The sequence below is a fragment of the Homo sapiens genome, chromosome 4 (assembly GCF_000001405.40).
Source record: "Homo sapiens chromosome 4, GRCh38.p14 Primary Assembly".
Classification (NCBI taxonomy): domain Eukaryota; kingdom Metazoa; phylum Chordata; class Mammalia; order Primates; family Hominidae; genus Homo; species Homo sapiens.
The window spans coordinates 159,179,951-159,200,350 of record NC_000004.12 but is presented as its reverse complement, the minus strand read 5'-3'; the positions used below and the strand labels follow the sequence as shown (position 1 = coordinate 159,200,350).

The window sequence follows — 20,400 nt, the reverse complement described above, 5'->3', positions numbered from 1 at the left end:
GGGACCACAGAGGTGCGCCACCACACTGGCTAATTTTTGTATTTTTTTAGAGATAGGGTCGTGCCATTTTGTCCAGGCTGGTCTCGAACTCCTGGGCTCAAGCGATCCACCCACCTCAGCCTCCCAAGGTGCTGGGATTACAGGCATGAGCCACTGTGCCTGGCACAATCTTAAATTTATGAAATTCATTTTTAACATGAAAGGAAGGAGTGAAACACTGGGAGTTATGAAGCTATTCAATAAATGATAAATGAAAGGAAAAACACCAATACAAACTATATATATATATAGAGAGAGAGAGAGATTACATCAAATCGATGAGTCAGCTAAACTGAGGGTAAAGAAATAGATCCAAGGGCTCAAGGAACAATTTATCACATTTAAAAGAATCTGAAATTTTGACTCTTTTGGAAACTACTAATGGGTTATGAAATTAATTTACAAATGTCTCTTTTAGATTCATATGCTGCAATTTTATCTTCACAAGAAACCTGTTTCTCACCTGGAGTCACCTGGGTCTCAGAAAAATGAAAGGTAACTTATACACACCCAGAGACAGAGTCAAATTCAAAGCTAAATCTGCCTAACTTCACTATAGGAGTCCCAACAGCAAGAAACTGCAACAATACTGCAAAACACCTGACAGCACCACTACCCCTCACATCAGAAAGGATATAAAAAGCAAGCTGTATTTTTCTCCTATACCTTACCCTAAACAGGTTTTTATTCACTAAGCAGTTTCACAGAAAATTGATACGAAGAATCCAACACCTGATGATGTGTAACCAGCCATTTTATTAGGAAGTGAGACCATAATGAAGGTCTTTATCTACAGATCAAAGGAGTTCCTTCTTTTGAATAGAGAATTGAAAAAAAAAAACCATCGGGAACAGACTAAATGCAAATTTCCATGGTAGGCATGAGAAGGCAAACCTGAAACAAACATAGTCCCTACCCTCATGAAGATTATGGATTAATTGTATTTTTAACAACGTTTTTATTTAAATACTCTTCTGCTCAACATAAAAATAAAACATTTTCATTTTAAAATAGTAATATAAAAATATCATTGTCAAGAAGCCTTAAAGGATCTCCGTATGTACATAAAACAGTCCTTCGTAAGTATCTGTGTGGGCATGGGTGTGCATGTGCTTGAATTCTCATACTTACATACAGGCGAGGTGGTTGAGCACCCGTGTCCTACAATTCCATGCAAAGGCTAAGTCTTTAAAGATGCCATTTTTTCAAATAAATTAAAACCTTTGGTTTCACTTTTTTTTTTTTTTTTTTTTTGAGACAGGGTCTCAGTTGCCCAGGTGTGATCTCAGCTCACTGCAAACCCTGCTGCTGGGGCTCAGGCAATTCTCGTGGCTCAGCCTCCCAAGTAGCTGGAATTACAGGCTCATGCCACCACGCCTAATTTTTGTATTTTTAGTAGAGATGGGGTTTCGCCATGTTGCCCAGGCTGGTCTCGAACTCCTGGCCTCAACTGATCCGCCCACCTCGAGCCACCATTTTCTTTATGTACACACATAAGCATAATAAAATTAGGACAGAAAAATACTTCAAAACGGTGGTTACATCTTGCTGGGTAAAAACAGAAGAGGCCAGGCGCAGTGGCTCACGCCTGTAATCCCAGCACTTTGGGAGGCCAAGGTGGGTGGATCACTTGAGGTCAGGAGTTTGAGACCAGCCTGGCCAATATGGCGAAACCCCAGCACTACTAAAACTACAAAAATTAGCCAGGCGTGGTGGCACATGCCTGTAATCCCAGCTACTTGGGAGGCTGAGGCACGAGAATGGCTTAAACCAGCGAGGTGGAGGTTGCAGTGAGCTCAGATCGTGCCACTGCACTCCAGCCTGGGTAACAGAGCTAGACTCTGCCTCAAGAAAAAAACAGTAAGAAGAAAGAAAGAAAGAGAGAGAGAGAGAGAGAGGAAGAGAGGAAGAGAGAGGAAGGAAGGAAGGAAGGAAAGAAAGAAAAAAAGGAAGGAAGGAAAGAGAGAGAAAGAAAAAGAAAGAAAGAAAGAAAGAAAGAAAGAAAGAAAGAAAGAAAGAAAGAAAGAAAGAAAGAAAGAAGGAAAGAAAGAGAAAGAAAGAAAGGAAGAAAGAAAGAAAAGAAAATAAAAGAAAGAATCGCAGTATTTTGCTTCCTGGGGTAGGGGTGGGGGGCTATAAAAATGATCTAAGTAGTAGATTAGTGCTTTTGTAATAATTTTCAAACAATTTACTGTGATGTAAAGTAAAATAAAATCTTGGTCACATCAAGAAGGAAAAAATAGTGTAATAATTGGATATGAGTAAGAGAGGCAAAGGAGAAACTTCAGGATGGAAGGCATCGTGGCACGCTTAGGGTCAGGCTTACGGTCTCAGAAACGCGGCAGGAAGAAGAGGCTGAAGATACAAATGAGAACAGAAATAACTCCATCATACAGGCAAAATGACATCCCTTCCTCCTAGAGACAGGAGTGGGACAAGAGGTAAATGCAGATACAGATAAATTAGGGTGTTTGAGACCAGAAAGCAAACTTGAGGCAGAGTTGCCTAGAGGAGGTGTGGGAGAAAGGAAAGGGGACAGCGATGGTTGAGCAGCCTCACAGAGCAGTGGGAATAGCTGCTGTGAAAACAGAAAGCCAAGTCAGCAACTGCAAAGACTGCTAAAAGCAACAAGAGCTCAGCTGAGGCTTGCAGTTCTAAATTGCACATTTACAGATTTAAATGAAAATGCTTTAAAAGACCCAACAGGCCTCAATGTAGCTCTTTTATGGAGAACAATTTCCTCTCCTGGAATAGAGAGAGAGAAACCCCTTACAAAGTGCTATGAAAACTCTTTTGGAAACCAAAGCAGTCATTCACATGTATGTGGAAAACAGGCAATGAGGTGCACAGTTACACTTATTTATAGTGTGGGCGTGTGTGTGTGTGGACACTTAAACTTTTGCAATGGTTGAATTTCTGATCCAAAGGTTTTGAGCACGTTAAATGTAATTATATATTAAACAGTATTTCCGTTTCACTTCACTATTTGTGAAGATAGCTGGCCATTAAGAAACAACTAAAGCAGATCAGTTTCCATGGTGTACTATGAGACAGCCCCAGGTTCAAAGAATTTTTCCAGAGAACAAATTCCCAACTTCTTATTGGCAGTATGCTGCAACTTTTACTACGATTTATCCAGTGTTTTTACATATATGTTTCTCATTTAAGATTAAATTGTTAAATAAAAACAAATATAAGTTAAGGTCCCTCTGGTGAGGAATTCATATTATCCGCCTCAGTATTCCCACAAAACAGCACAATACCTAACAGAGTAGATAATAAAGGCAAGGAAGGCAGAAATTACCTGATAGGCTTTTCCATTCTGTAAAGTTGAGCTAATTTTCTCTAACTTTCTAATGCAAACCAACACAATTTGATTCCAAATGGGCAACTCTAAATTTTAAAAATGCAATCTTATCAGAATCACAATGTTCCCCCCAACTCAATACAATCTAAAATGGCGTTTTTGTCATCTTGGTCGTTCATGTTAAAACAATAACACCATCAGAGCTAGAGCATCACTATCATAATTCCTTCCTGACAAACATTTAAAGCAACTAAAATATTGGAAGACCAAAATGTAAATTATCAAACAGTGATGAGAATGACAATGATGCTGGCACTAACGTGCTTATGTACTTATTCTGAACATGCTGCTCTAAACACTCTGTACAGGTTACTGTATCTCATCCTCATGCCAACCCTGACGGGTAGGAACTATTATTATCGGTTCCACATTATAGGTGAGAAAAACGAGGTACAGGGGTGGATCAAAAGAGTATTATATTTACCTGGCAAAATTATTGAAACCATAGACTTAGAAGGCACCAGCACATAAACATAATAAAATGACTACTCTACTCATTTCTTGGTCATAAAACCAAAGTGTGAAAGCCTTTGATATTTCTGACTACACTGTGTTCTTCAAACTCAAGGAAGAACAAGAACAAACAAGTCATTTCCCCAAAAGGTAATAATAACAGGTCCGAAAAAGAGGAGTACTATTATTATCACAAATTTATATATATAACACAAATACAATAATTTTTAATTTTCAAAACCGAACTCACACAAATTGGTAAGAGCAGAAACATGTCTAAGGATCATGGAAGAAAACAATTCAACTACATTTCATCACAAGATTGGCCAAACGCTAGAAATCTGATTATGTGAATTTACAATTAGTCTCTGAATTTTGGGCCTTATGAAATCATAATTTGTGGAATATCCAAAGACTTTTCATCACTTACTAACACTGTCACCTACTTCTAACTAGTCAAATACGGGCAGGTGCTACAATCAACTCTACAGAGTGGAATGCATTCAAATTTAAGATTACCTAAAATATGGCTTGGCATTATCAGCATAGCTCACATGCACTGTCTAAACCTCTAAGCCTACTTGGGGAAAAAAAAAAAAAAAAAAAAAAAAAAAAACAGGTATGTTTGAAGACACTGTAATCTACCTTCGATTTAAATAAGTAATCAATAATAATTGTTAGGCAGTCATAATGTAGCATGAGCTGCTGGCGGGTTTCAGTTGCCACTTTAGGAGAACAGGTTGGGGCAGGGAGAGAGTGTGTGTTTACCCCAGCATGTACACAAGCATTATTTTATGGTGACAAGGCATGAAAAGGGTCAGAAAATGCTGGTGACTAGGATAAGAGCTATGGCTGCAGAATCACAATGTCTGGGCTCAAATCTTTGTCCCACATTAGGCAGTGGGAGCTTGGCAGTTCTTTATCGTCTCAAAGCTTCAGTTTGTCCAGCTGGGATAATGATAACAAGTACTTCACAAGATATCCACGAAGAATAAGTAAATGAATGCATATAAATCACTTATTAGAGGACATGGGACATAGGAAGTGCGTGTTAAATGTCGGCTATCACCTCATCATCATCAATACTATCCAAACCACGTTTCAGAGGAAGACAAAATACTAGAAAGTTGATGCTTACTGCTACTAGACTGCTTTGATAAATGCCAGTAATAGAATTCAAATGTCTCTATCCCTGTTATTTGTATACTCATTCCACTGATAACTTTTTATTGCTCCCAAAATAACACTTTATTAACATCTTCATTTCTTCTGGGAATAAGTATGTTAAGAGCACTTGCCTCTTGTTAATTTTCTCATTATCAAATACTTCTTGATTATTTACGACTCTATATTTGGTGTAGGTTCTTTTAAGCTTGAGATGGATATTTATTATTGCCTGCTGAACAGGTCCCAGACGTCATAGTTTCACATGTTGCAACCTCAGAATCATCCTAGATTCTATCTACCTGTATCTTCTTCTAAAATCCAACATCCCTGACTCCTCCATTCCCTCAGTCTTTGCCTCAGTTCAAGCACTTACCACCTCAGATGGCTGTAACTGTCTCCTTACTGATCTCTTTGTCCAGACACTCAATCTATCTAACTCACCCTTCATATTTTCATACAACCACAGGTATTACCTTTGAGGGAACAGGTAGATAGGGAGGGTTGGGAGACATGTGATCACATCATTTTGCTGCATGAAAACCAGCCTCCAAGCTACTATTAAAAGAGGCTTAAAGAAAATCAACAATCACAATGAATAAACTTTAGATTTTGATTCAAATAAATAAGCTGTTAAAAAAAAAGGACAAAAACTTTGAATATTTTCATGATATTAAAGAGTTATTTTTAAAGACTTGATAATCTTGTGTTTAAGGTTTGTTAAAGTCACTATCTTTTAGAGATACATATCATAATAATTATGGATGAACTGTGCTGTCTGGGATTTACTTCAAAATCATCCAGTTGGAGCTGGGAGGGGAGAGTAAGAAATGAAAACACAATTGGCCATGGGTTTGCCATGTTGGACAATGAGTATTTGGGGGTCTGTGATACCACTGTGTCAAATATTGTGTCTGAAATTTTCCATAACATGTTATTTAGGAGGGAAAAAAATCTCCTGAAGAACCCAGGACCTGATCTGCCTGAAGGATCCAAGTCGTTTTCTGAACAACACGTTCTTGACCAAGTATGACTGTAGACTGCGTCTTCTCCTGACTTACCACCCTGACCCACACCACAGGCCAGTCACACTAAACTTGCTATGATGTTCAAAACATCAGGCCAGGCCCCGTCACCTCTCTGCGTCCCAGCACATACTGTTCCTTCTGCCTAAAAAGTGTCTGCAGCCTCCGGGACACATCTTTGAGACCTGGTTCCACAGCCCCTTTGCTGAGGCTCTCCTCATTTCCTTCACACGCTCCCTTGTGCTTCTTCCACCCTTGGAACATAGCCACATTCTCACAATTATTTTGCTTTGTTTGTTTCTGTTGTTGTTGTTTTCCTTGTATTCTATTTCTACCTTCCTCAACAGATTATGAACTCCTTAAAGGCAGAAGCTGGGACTTATTTATTTGAATAAATATTCCCTATAATAAGTCTAGAAGGTAGAAAGTAAGTGCTTTGAAAACCAGTCAACAAAACAACAGTCATGGCAAACATTATTGAAACAAAATGTCTAATAAATCATAATTTATGTTAATATGCCAATATTTATCTACTATATATTCTTTAAGAATACGCTGTCTTTTCTTAAGGAATATGTTGCACATCTTGAAAAGAATATTAATATTATCGAAAGATGCAATTATACCCAAAGACATGGGGGCAGCTTATTTTCCTGTTTCTGAAAGAACTATAAACTAAAATATGGCCTTTATGCTATCTTCACATTTCATCTGGTGTGGCTGTGGGAATATATGTTTTGTTCCATTAGAAAAACTGTATATTATTTCTTATTTCATAATAAAAATGTCAAAATACTCTACAATATGAAATAGTATCTTTGACCCACATGTGAGAGATACAAATATAGACACAAATGTGAACTTATCAGGAAAGAACTGTAAACTTTTATTTTATGACAGGAAACAGATAAAATGTTTCCCATTTCTCAACTAAGAAAAATAAGTTAGTGCTGACTTAGCCAGCTGTTACTAATACTCCTTTGATACTTTAAGAAAATTTAGTCACTGGATTAGATACATTGTACAAACAAAAAGGAAACACCTACTAGTATAAAACTTCATTTGCTTCGTGTCTCTCATATCTCACAGTTTCACACATTAACCTGTAAAAGAGATAAAAACATGAGTTCAACATCTGTCACTAAAAAACAGACTGGTATTTTAAACCCTTAAATGACACATACAGTCTAGAAAATTGATTATTTTATATGGTTTGTCACAATCATTTATTAGCCTCAAGATGAATATTTTTAATACCTGGGTTAATAAAATTACATTACATTAAATCTGGTAAAAGTATGCTAGAAAAGAAAATATCTAGTAAGATGTCAACTTCACCATGTTTATTTTATGGGGAAGAACATTGTGTGTATTTTCTATTTTGTAAATGGCATGTGGACAAATTAATGTTCCCCAAGATAAATAAAAACTGAGAAGGAACCTAAAAGTTTAAAAGGAAAACCTATTGATTTTAAAAGTGATAACATCATTCACTCATTCACGGCTCAACAAGAATGTTACTCCACATTATGGAATTTCAGATAAAAGTAGGCTCTAAGGCTCTAATTAACTTGATATTTTTATGACCACTGACTAACTGGAGGCTTTAGAACTTTAAAGATTTGTTACTTCAGCTGATTCATCCCAGAGTTTTTGAAAAAATTACGAAATTATAAAAATTATGAAAAACATGAATAATTTTTAAATATTCAAAATTACCCTGAGAATAGCATCTTCAAGAAGCATCCTATTATATTAAGTCAATTACATTTTTCCCAAAATACAGAAATGCAAATCAGAGAATTACTATTCCATCTTATGAAGGAACTAGAAATAGAAAAAGCTGGCTATTAAAAGTGTTTATTTCAACAGCACCTCCATTTTGGTCATTCGGGCTACCATTCTCCAACCTGTGAAACACTAGAATCACCCCACATCCATCTTTCTTTCCTCGGTTTGCTAAATCAAAGAAACAGCTCTCTTTGGTACTTTTTTTCCTTGTTCTTCGCGTTCCCACCACCGTACTTTAGAGGTCCTTAACCTCAATCCCTTCCTGGAAACATTGCAGCTGATTCTCACTTAACTCCAGGAGGCAGCAGTGAGTCTTGAATACATCTTACTAAGCATACATTCCTCTTCAATGAGTTGCCAAGTTGAATAACAATTTTTCATAGGAAAAGATGGTAGCCAAAAGCATTAAGTCTAAAAATATCTGGTCTTAAACTAGATAATGGGCTCTGCCTTGTTTCCTGTTGGAATAGAAGGGTTCTTGCCTCGGCCTCTTTACTTCCACCCCAAATCTCATTCCTGCTTCCACGGAAGACCCTGCACTCCTGTGTAAGACCCCGTGCTCCTGCAAGCTTACCTCCTTCTCCATGTTCCTCTCTACTGAATCACGTCCTCTAATATGTAACATAACTCAAGATATCACCTATCGTGTGGGCGGAACTCCTCTCTTGACCTCACATCTCCTTCCAGCTATTATCTATATTTTGCTTTTTTCCCATCACAGAAAATCTTTTAGAGTTGTCTATATAGTATTATTATTATCATTATTATTATTTTGAGATGGAGTCTCACTCTGTCACCAGGCTGGAGTGCCATGGCGCGATCTCAGCTCACTGCAACCTCCACCTCCCGGGTTCAAGCAATTCTCCTGCCTCAGCCTCCCAAGTGGCTGGGACTATCGTTGCGCGCCACCACGCCCAGCTAATTTTTGTATTTTTAGTAGAGACAGGGTTTCCTCATGTTGGCCAGTATGGTCTCGATCTTGTGACCTCGTGATCCGTCCACCTTGGCCTCCCACAGTGCTGGGATTACAGGCATTAGCCATCGCGCCCGGCCTGAGTTGTCTATATATTCTATCTCTATTTTCTCACCCCTTTCCCCACTCCTCCATCATTTGGTCCCTAAAACTCCAAAGAAAAAGCTCTAAAAATAATCAGCATCCAACTTGTTATCAGAATCCTACCTGTCCTTAGCAATTCCACTACTCTGCAGTATTTGATTACTCCTTTTTCCTCACAGCATTATTTCCTTTCAGCAACCTGTCCTTGGTCTTCTGCTTTTCCAGCTTAACTTACTAGTCATTTTTTTTTTCTGTCTCTTTTGGATGCTCCCCAACTTCATCCTCTACCTGACTTCTAAATGTTATCATCTCCAGGGTCCTGTCCTTAGCCCTCTTCTCTATGCTCCAGTAATCTCACCCAGTTCATGATTTTAATCTATACACTGATGACTTCCAAAGCAATGCCCCAGACCTGATCTCTCATCACGGCAGCCACTCATTTAAATGCCTACTCAGTGCTGCCACTTGAATATGTAACAGCCACCTCATGCTTACAATATCTAAGACAGAATATGAATTTCTCCCCCAAAATATGCTTTCCCAGAATTAGTACCCTGATATGGTTTGGCTGTATCTCCACCCAAATCTTATCTTGAATTGCAGTTCCCATAATCCCCACATGTCATGAGAGGGATCAGTGGTGATAACTGAATTATGGGGCTGGTTCCCCCAGTCCTGTTCTGGTGTTAGTGAGTTCTTAAATGATCTGATGGTTTTATAAGGGGCTTCCCCCTTCGCTGGGCACTCATTCTTCTCTCTCCTGCCACTTGTGAAAAAAGATGTGTTTGCTTCCCCTTCTGCCATGATTGTAAGTTTTCTGAGGCCTCCCCAGCCATGCGGAACTATGAGTCAATTAAACTTCTTTCCTTTATAAATTACCCAGTCTCGGGTATGGCCTTATAGTGAGAACAGACTAATACAGTAACAACCTTAGAGTCATCATTCCTGACTTCTCTCTTTTCTTCACATACATCTTTCCGCCATCACCTGTTTCCAAAATACATCCTCCAGAACTGACCAAATTCACCATCTCTCCTGTTAAATCTAGCATGAGCTATCATTATCCCACCATTATCCCTTACCAAGACCACAAGTACAGAGACTTCTGCTTCCACCTTTACATGCCTATTGTCCATTCCCCACAAGGCCCCACAAAGCTTCCAGAGATCTTTCCAACCACTAAGTCAGATGATCTCACAGCTCCACTCTAATCTCCACAACCTCTAAAAGAAAATCCAAACTCCTATGCTATTTGCTATACTTCTACACTGTTATATTTTACTTACTTACTGTGCCTTACTATACCGTGGACCCTGCCTTTCCCTGCACCAAGCCTGTGCCCATGACAGAGCATCTGGGGCACCTCTACACTGAAGAAATCTTTGCAGGCTGTCCTGACTCTAATGTCACCCCTCCTTTTGACTCCAAAGCCAGAGCTGTCTAGCACCCATCCTCATCATGTCCAGCATACTAAATAAAGTAACATTGATCCAAATATCAATCTTTTCTGCTCCACTAGGAACCTCAGTTCCGTGATGTCAGGGGTTTGATTTACTTCAATGCAGTATCTCCAGAGCCTACATCAATATCAAGTACACAGTAAGTATACAATCAATTGATAACTGTTTATAAAATAAATTTAAACAGTGCTATCAGAAAGTCATGATAAAATCTCTTATATGAAAATGTCATAAATGGAGGAATCAAGTACCAAAATGCTTTTTGTCTTTAAACATTGTTAGACAATGTTTTAGCTGAAGCATATTGACCTTCCCTGAGTTCCTATGAGAATAATAACCATAATTCGGTTACTACTCAAAGATCTAAAGGCGCCTATATAGTAACAATTACACTCATCCATGATGCTGCAGAAAATATGTATTATTTTATTTCAGCAGGCTCTTGTTTCCAAAACTGAATAGCCCCAATTACTCTACTTTTTTAAACAGATTTTTGGTCTCTGCTCCCAATTACAGCATACTCTTCCCCGCTGGCAAATATGCTGCTTCTTGCCTATATAAACTAAACGGATAAAACATTAGAAAAATAGTTAAAATGATGAAGAAACATAGTTTTTAGTGAAGATCTGAAAAACCTTTACATTGCACAGTGTGTGATCTTACAGCAACACAGTAATGTCTACTTTAACTGCTCTGTAACAATGCAGGGAAGCTTTCAAATAAATAAAAGCCACTTCCACTCCCCCACAGGAGAACACGAATGTTGCTGCTCTACTGCCCAATACTTAACAGACTGAAAATCTTGATTATGAGCACTTATTTCCTAAAATTGTAAAACTGTGTCATGTGGAAGTCTTAACTGACTGCTCTCTATTATTCCCAGGGTATAAAATTAAAGGAAAATAATTTATCTAAAGGAGATATATTTTTCCCAGAAATTGTAGTATTATAAAGCAGTTTAAGTTGTTGGGTTTATCTGTACCTCTATTTTTGTTATTATGTATGTGGTATCCTGATCTTGTTCTAAAAAAGAACTTAAATTAGTTTAAGGTGATGTTTTCCATTAATATGACTTCAACACAAGCATAAGATAAACATCTCACAGGCTCCGCCCTGTAGGTTCATGCCAACAAACACATCTGTGTAGGCTCCAAAATAGACATTCTAAGGTGTAAATAGACTCAACTATACCCTTGAACTTATTATTTATAACCAAAATTACTTCTGCAGCTGCAGAAAGTTGACAGTTCTGAAACTGGCTGATGGGTGTATGGAACTTCATTAGTATTTTTATACCTTTTCTTTTTTTTCTTTTCTTTTTTTTTTTTTTTGAGATGTAGTCTCATTCTGTTGCCCAGGCTGGAGTGCGGTGGTGCGATTTCTGCTCACTGCAACCTCTGCCTCCCAGGTTCAAGCGACTCTCCTACCTCAGCTTCCACAGCAGCTGGGATTATAAGCGTTTGCCAACACGCCCCGCTAATTTTTGTATTTTTAGTAGAGATGGGGTTTCACCACGTTGGCCAGGCTAGTGTTGAACTCCTGACCTCAAGTGATCCACCCACCTCGGCCACCCAAAGAGCTGGGATTACAGGCATGAGCCACCACGCCCAGCCTATTTATACTTTTGTCATCCAGAAAATTTCTGTAAGTATAAAAAATCCTTTTTCTATTGCATAGAATTCCTATTATCTAAATAAAATGCATTATATAATCAATATATCTAAATATTACATGTGTGGTTTTATGTGCACAGTGGGAATGTGACATTTGTATTTACATATTAATTAGTTGCATTTCCATTTATGAATTAACCGCACGCAATTAAATAATTGTTAGTACAATTTTTTCTTAGCAAAGTTGTCGTCACAAAATATAAAATGAAAGTTACACACTTTAAAAATTATTCTTGCTCTAATTTGAGCCATCTTCTAAAATCCCAGTGGTTTTGCCCTTTCTAATAAAACTTGACTTAATTTTTAAACACTTAATCTACAATCTACTTTAATTTAAATGACTTTCATTAAAAATTTAATTTTAGAAGTACTCAATCCTCTTGATATTCTTTTCAATTAACTAAATATGGAATTGACATGCTCACAAATTAATTAGTGTTGAAAGAGTAAAGGGGAAATATATGGAAAAAGCATTCCTTTCATAATTAAAACCCGCTGGCATCAAAAATAGCTAGACCTGGAAAAAACAAGACTTTCCCATTATGTCCTAGTTGGTGTTTATATATTATCCATCTTCCTAAGGTCCTTTATTTTATATCCCACTTAAGGTAAAATCATTTTTGTTCTTTAATATGAAGCCCAGATAAACATAAATATAGTTGCTGTATTACTGTACAACAGAAGTGATGAGATTTCTATATGGGCAGATCTCATAAAAACAAATATAGTATAAACTGTGTTTCTCTGAAAAAGGTAGTCTACTTAATGCAATAAAATATTCAAACAAAGATATACAACATACTAAAATAATGGACCTAGTAATTCTTTAAATGATTAATTTAAAAGGTTCTGGTTTCTAATATATCTGAATGCTAAGTAGTAGGTTTTTATTTGCCAAGATGGCAAATATTGCCCCTATTGATATATTCACCAAGTGGCATTTACTACTTTTGGTGAGAAGTGAGAGAGGAAGGGAGGGAAGTGGAGGGGGATGGGGAGAGACAGAGAAAAAAAAGGGGAGGAGGAAGAAGAAAGAGACAGAGACAGACCCTGGGGTGGAAATGGAAGAATATAACTATGACAGAAATGTCAAAATATTATTCTCTTACTGGATACAATTGAATTCAACTTTGTAAAAGTAAAACTTAATTAAGTATATATTATTAGTGTAAGTTTAAGCTCCTTAGTATAGGACCTAGATGAAGCAGACTTTTCATGAATAAGATTCCTTTAAGCCTACTTGTTGACTACAGTAAGTGATCTATAAAATTCTAGCATTCTAGGTAGGAGAAATAAGTCCTGGTGTTCTATAGCACTATAGGGTAATATCATTAACAACAATTTGTGGTGTATTTTCAAATAGCTCAAAGAGTGGATTTCAAATGCTATAACACAAAGAAATGATAAACGTTTGAAGTGATGGACATGCTAATAATCCCCATTTGATCACAATACATTGTATACATGTATTAAAATATCAGAATGTACCCCACGAATATGTACAATTATTATGTCAAGTAAGAATAAAAGTAAAAAATTAAAATGTTAAATTGTTACATGCTTCAAATTTTTACCATTCTATGATTAACTGAATATTAAAATGACATACCTAAGTTGATGCTCCCTCAAGTTTGATAAGGCTTCCATACCATGTAAATAGGAATATACTATTTCCAGATCCTGTTTCAAAGAAAAGAATAGAAATTATTAGACCTGTCAGGAAAAGGGGTTTCTAAAATAAGTCACACTGTATCTACAAACCAAATTAAACTATGGATAGCTTTTTTAAAAATACATGTTTTCTTAAGACAGTAAAAATAAACATTATTAAAAGCTCAGTTGTACAAATGTCATCCATTACAACTGCTTCTGGGATATGCACTAAACCTACTAAAATATAAAATAAAATGATTAACTTATAAAAATAAATTCCTCATAAATCGTTCTTTATCACCTGTTTCTGCCTTTTACATCAAAATAGCAAGTACAAAGTTTTAATTTCACAGTATATTTGTCAATACCATAGTTAAATCAAATTATTTTCTTAGTCAATATAAAATGAATGCTTGTTATTTCCTGGCTACACTTAAAAATGGATATAAATTCAATTTTTTTCAATTCTTACCAAAATTACATCTTATATAGAAATATTTTCTTATATAGAAATACTTAAGTTTAAATATTTTCTTTTAAAAAAGAAAACGTGCCTTGTTTTACCAGATCACATTGCAGTAAATAGAAAAAAAAAGACTCAAAGTTATTTATGAAAGTTCAGAAGAAGTAAAAATTCAAAGTCCTGTTTATATTCATTTGTGACAAGCCAGAAAGGATTTAGTATTTTAAGACTCTAATATCTAGGAGTCTAGGATTACACATAGTTTCTGACATCAAGAATATGAGGGATATTTACTCCTCTCTTAAACCTTAGTCAAAATCTACAACAGATCTATTTTAAGAAATTTGTAAAATAATCCTCTCCTTTTCAAAGTGTTAACAGCTTTATTTACTGATGATTCACATACTATAAAATGTATCCCTTTAAAGTGAACAATTCAGTGGTTTTGTTGTACAATCTATCTCACTAATTTCAGAACATTTTCACCAACCCAAAAAAACAACTCCATACTCATTAGCAGTCATTCTCCATTCCCCCTTACTCTAAGCTCCTGACAACCACTAAACTACTTTCTGTTTCTATGAGTTTGCCTATTCTGGACATTTCGTGTAAATGAAATCCCACAGTGGAATATATGATCTTTGGGGACAACTTCCTTCACTTAGCACAATGTTTTCAAGGTTTATCCATGTTTTAGCATGTATCAGTACTTTCCTTTTTATTGCCAAATATTATTTCATTGTAGATATATACTACATTTCATTTGCCCATTTATCAATTGATGGACATTTAGGATCTTCCCTCTTTTTGGCTATTATGAATAATGCTGCTACAAACTCATGCGTAAGTTCTTGTTTGAACACCATTTTGAATTCTCACGGGTATACACCTAGAAGTGAAGCTGCTGGTTCACGTGGTAACTCTATGTTTGACTCTTTAAGGACCTGCCAAACTGCTTTCCTAAGTCACTGCAACCATTTTATAATCCCACAGGTAATGTATGAGGATTCCAAGCTCTCTATATCCTTACCAAAGCTTGTTACTGTCTCTCTTTTTATTTTAATCATCTTACTAAGTGTGTAATAGTATTGACTTGCATTTCCCCAATGATTAAGGATGTTGAGCGTCTTTTCATGTGCTTTTTTGTCCACTTATATAACTTCTTGGATAAGTGTCTATTCAAATCCTTTGTTCGAAGAAATGGGGAAAGGATTCCCTATTTAATAAATGGTGCTGGGGAAACTGGCTAGCCATATGTAGAAAGGTAAAACTGGATCCCTTCCTTATACAAAATTTAATTCAAGATGGATTAAAGACTTAAATGTTAGACCTAAAACCATAAAAACCCTAGAAGAAAACCTAGGCAATACCATTCAGGACATAGGCATGGGCAAGGACTTCATGACTAAAACACCAAAAGCAATGGCAACAAAAGCCAGAATTGACAAATGGGATCTAATTAAACTAAAGAGCTTCTGCACAGCAAAAGAAACTACCATCAGAGTAAATAGGCAACCTACAGAACGGGAGAAAATTTTTGCAACCTACTCATCCGACAAAGGGCTAATATCCAGAATCTACAAAGAACTTAAACAAATTTACAAGAAAAAAATCAAATAACCCCATTAAAAGTGGGCAAAGGATATGAACAGACACTTCTCAAAAGAAGACATTTAGGCAGCCAACAGACAAATGAAAAAATGCTCATCATCACTGGCCATCAGAGAAATGCAAATCAAAACCACAATGAGATACCATCTCACACCAGTTAGAATGGTGATCATTAAAAAGTCAGGAAACAACAGGTGCTGGAGAGGATGTGGAGAAACAGGAACACTTTTACACTGTTGGTGGGACTCTAAACTAGTTCAACGATTGTGGAAGACAGTGTGGCGATTCCTCAAGGATCTATAACTAGAAATACCATTTGACCCAGCCACTCCATTACTGGGTATATACCCAAAGGATTATAAATCATGCTGCTATAAAGACACATGCACACATATGTTTATTGCGGCACTATTCACAATAGCAAAGACTTGGAACCAACCCAGATGTCCATCAATGATAGACTGGATTAAGAAAATGTGGCACATACACACCATGGAATAATATGCAGCCATAAAAAAGGATGAGTTCATGTCCTTTGTAGGGACACAGATGAAGCTGGAAACCATCATTCTCAGCAAACTATCACAAGGACAGAAAACCAAACACCACACGTTCTCACTCACAGGTGGGAACTGAACAATGAGAACACTTGGACACAGGGTGGGGAACATCACACACCAGAGCCTGTCATGGGGTGAGAGGAGGGGGGAGGGATAGCATTAGGAGATATACCTAATGTAAATGACGAGTTAATGGGTGCAGCACACCAACATGGCACATGTATACACATGTAACAAACCTGCATGTTGTGCACATGTACCCTAGAACTTAAAGTATAATAAAAAAAATTCTTTGTTCATATTTTAATTGGTTTATCTGTCTTTTTATCATTAAATTGTAACCGTCCTTTATACATTCTGGATAGAAGGTCCTTATTCAGATGTGTAATTTGTAAATATCTTCTCCCATTCCATGGACCATCTTTTTTACTTCCTTGATGGTGTCCTTTGAAGCACAAAATATTAATTTTGAAGTCCAATTTATTTTCTTTTGTTGCATGAGCTTTTAGAGTAATATTTAAGAAACCATTACCTAATCCAAGATCCCAATGATTTACTACTATATTTTCTTCTAAAAGTTGTATGGTTTTAGCTCTTACATTGAGGTCTGTGATCCATTTTAATTTTTGTATACAGTGTGAAGTAGGGGTCCAACATTATTTTCACATGTGCATATCAGTTGTCCTGGAACCCTCTGTTGGAAAGACTATTCTTTACCACATTGAACTGTAATGGTATGCTCACTGAAAAATCAATTGACCATATAAAAGGGTTTCTTTCTGGACTCTCAACTCTATTCCACTGGTTTGTCTATCCTTATGCCTGTATCACGCTGTCTTGAGTAGGCAGCTTTGGTAGTTAAGTTTTGAAACTGTGAATTGTGAGTGTTCCAGCCTTGTTCTACCTTTCACAAGAGATTTTTCTGGCTCTTTTAGGTGCCTTGCATTTTCAATCTTAATTTTTTTGATTAGCTTGTCGGTATATGCAAATAAGCCAGTTGGGATTTTAGTAGGGTTGCATTGAATCTGCAGACCAATCCGAGTAGTATTGCCATCTTAAAAATATTAAGTCTCCTGATCCATAACATGTGATGTCTATACATTTATTTAGGTCTTCTGTGATTTCTTTTAACATTGTTTTTGTCTTTTCAGTGTACAGACCATACTCTCTTGGTTAAATTTTAATCCTTTTAATTAAGAAAAAAAACTTTTTGTAGCCTGAGAACACTTATGAACAATTACAACTGTGTGTGCAACTAAATCTTATATAAGGACACAGATGACAATAATTCACAGAATAACTAGATAAGGAATTAGAAACCTTTTAAAGAAAGTACTAAGGCTGGGCACAGTGGCTCACGCCTGTAATCCCAGCATTTTGGGAAGCCGAGGTAGACAGACCATTTGAGGTTAGGAGTTCGAGACCAGCCTGGCCAAGATGGTGAAACCCCATCTCTGCTGAAAATACAAAAATTTGCTGGGTGTTGTGGCATATGCCTGTAATCCCAGCTACTTGGGAGGCTAAGGCAGAAGAATCGCTTGAACCCAGGAGAAGGAGGTTGCAGTGAGCCGAGATTGTACCACTGCACTCCTGCCTGGGCAACAGAGTGAGACTCTGTATCAAAAAAAAAAAAAAAAAAAAAAAAAAAGAAGAAAAGAAAATACTAGGAAGCTTTTCAGTCTAAAATATTTTAGACTATTTTACTCCTTAAAACAATGTTATGGTATGTTAAGACATGATTTATAATTTTAAGTCATTCCAATTTAAAATTTATCAGTATTAGGGACTTAAAATGTCACCGTCATATAGACAACTTTCAAATAAACTGATTGCCTCTCATTTTATCCATCTGTACTCCGATATTTCCAAGAAGCCTTTTAAAAGCTATTTAAAGATGGAAATGTAAAAACAGGTCCCATAAGTTCAATACCAATAAGAAAATTAAAACAAAATTGTTTCCCCTATCCAGTTAACAAAGTGTACATTCCTAAATCTAATAAACCCCTCCTTTAGAAAAGCAATCAGGCTCCAATCATAATGTTCTATTTGCATTCAAGGAAAGCCAATAAAAATGTCCCAATGAAACATTTATAATAAAAGATCCTTCTGGATAATCCTAAAGTTCACCATTCTTGTTTAAATATGAATTTGTATGTTACTTGAAGTTGTTAAATAGTACAGAATGACTGTATTCCCGGCCAGGCATGGTGGCTCACACACCTGTAATCCCAGCACTCTGGGAGGCCGAGGCGGGTGGATGACCTGAGGTCAGGAGATCGAGACCACCCTGGCCAACATGGTGAAACCCCGTCTCTACTAAAAATACAAAAAATTAGCCAGGCGTGGTGATGCATGCCTGTAGTTCCAGCTACTCAGGAGGCTGAGGCTGAGATTGTGCCACTGCACTCCAGCCTGGCAACAGAGCGAGACCCCATCTCAAAAAAAAAAAAAAAAAAAAAGACTGTCTTCCCATTTCTGAGGAGCTTATATTCTGACAATGTAAGGCTAATATTAAAGTCTTACATTGTTTTCACTAAATTACCTGTCAACCTGTCATAATCTGCCCAAGGCCTAAAACTGATTTTATCTAAGCAAAAAGACTATTTGCATTCATTTAACCATCAAGCAAATAAATTCACACTGACCAGAAAAGTGTATCTGGAAAAGTATTAGAAAAAAATAAATAAAATTTTTAAAAGCTATGTCAGGAAAGGATGGAGAAGTCTAAGAGACACAGTAGAAGCAAGAATTTGGAAGCCTCAAGACAGAATCAAAGAACGGCCTTAAGGCCTTAAAATAGAACAAAAGGCCTTGAAATAATCAAGTTTCTACGCCTTCAACTAACCCAAGAAAAATCAAAGATAAAAAGCTAGCTCACTGATCAAGTGGCACTTTATTAATCTGTTGCTTTTCAACATTACGGTGTTTCACAGTTGTATAAGGGCCACGCTCTTATACAAATTACGTCATACACATTATGTGTGTTAGTATGATATACATGGATTTAACAATTTTGAATATGAATGTATACTTTGAATAATAACCATTATTTCTTTATCTTAATTATAACATACAAATTAAATAAGATTGTTGATTAGTTAATAAAAATGTAAAGAATGGAATATTATCACCTATAATTCACTGACATAAGTAAATCAATCAGGAAATTGTTACTGAGCCTGTATCATAAAACTGGGAAATAGACATTACACCTTACTGCATGAACAAACTTAAAAAGCAGTTTTTCTTTCTATATGTACCTGCATAAATAAAACATTCATATCCATATAATCATGATTTTTAGGGGGTACTTTCAAACGTGTCATTATTCAAGCAGTATACAACCAGAAAACCCTGTGTAGTAACTGCTTCATTTTGTATTTTATATATCAAACCAGACTATAAACTTCTTAAATAAATTCAATTACATTCAGGGTTTCTTCTATTGCTCTTACAGTACATCATCCCACATGAAACTTGTTTTAAACGGTCTGTGCCACAAGGAGCCTATAAACTAGGGGAAAAGACTACATTATTCTGCTATTATAGATGCAGTTAGGTGGCTTTACAGATAGACTCCATGTAAACTTGAGACTTCTTAGTTGTATTAACAGGAGTGGCAGGCAACACATAAGTAATGTTTCACTACGTAATATGAACTTGACCAACGTGGATTTGGGTATGTAGGAAAAAAAAGAGAAACTATGGCAAAGACATCAAGAAATCTCTGCTCTCAGACCCCGAAAAATGAAAGAAAGTTTACTAGAGATAAGCAAAAGACATGCAAATTAAAGGAAGAAGCAATCTGTGTTTAAGCTTTTCTTCAATCAGGAGGTCAGCAGCCAAATATTAGTTACCACAGATCGCATAAACAACAAAAAGGAAAACGGAAGACAAGTTTTCTTATCCTTTCCTAAAAGCAAGCGGGACTAAGCAATGTCTTGAAATAGGCACACATTGCCTTTCATTTCTAATCTTCCTATCAATTTTTTCTACCTTCTCACCAGGTGTCGAGACCTCACATTACCCAAGCCCCATATCGGCTCACTATGCCCTGGTCTAAGAATTAAAGGCAGGCAATCTG

General features: G+C 36.5%; 1 protein-coding gene across 2 annotated transcripts in view; it reads right to left on the bottom strand.

Annotated features, from left to right (window-relative positions):
- RAPGEF2 (Rap guanine nucleotide exchange factor 2) overlaps window positions 1-20,400 on the bottom strand; it is a 257,095-nt gene that overhangs the window by 159,823 nt on the left and 76,872 nt on the right. For both annotated transcript variants that reach the window (NM_001351724.5, NM_001394067.2), the window contains exons 2-3: window positions 13,639-13,709; window positions 7,095-7,151 (exon numbers count right to left, since the gene is read on the bottom strand). In NM_001351724.5, the coding sequence (NP_001338653.1) occupies window positions 7,095-7,151; window positions 13,639-13,709 (128 nt within the window). The remainder of the gene's footprint in view (window positions 1-7,094; window positions 7,152-13,638; window positions 13,710-20,400) is intronic.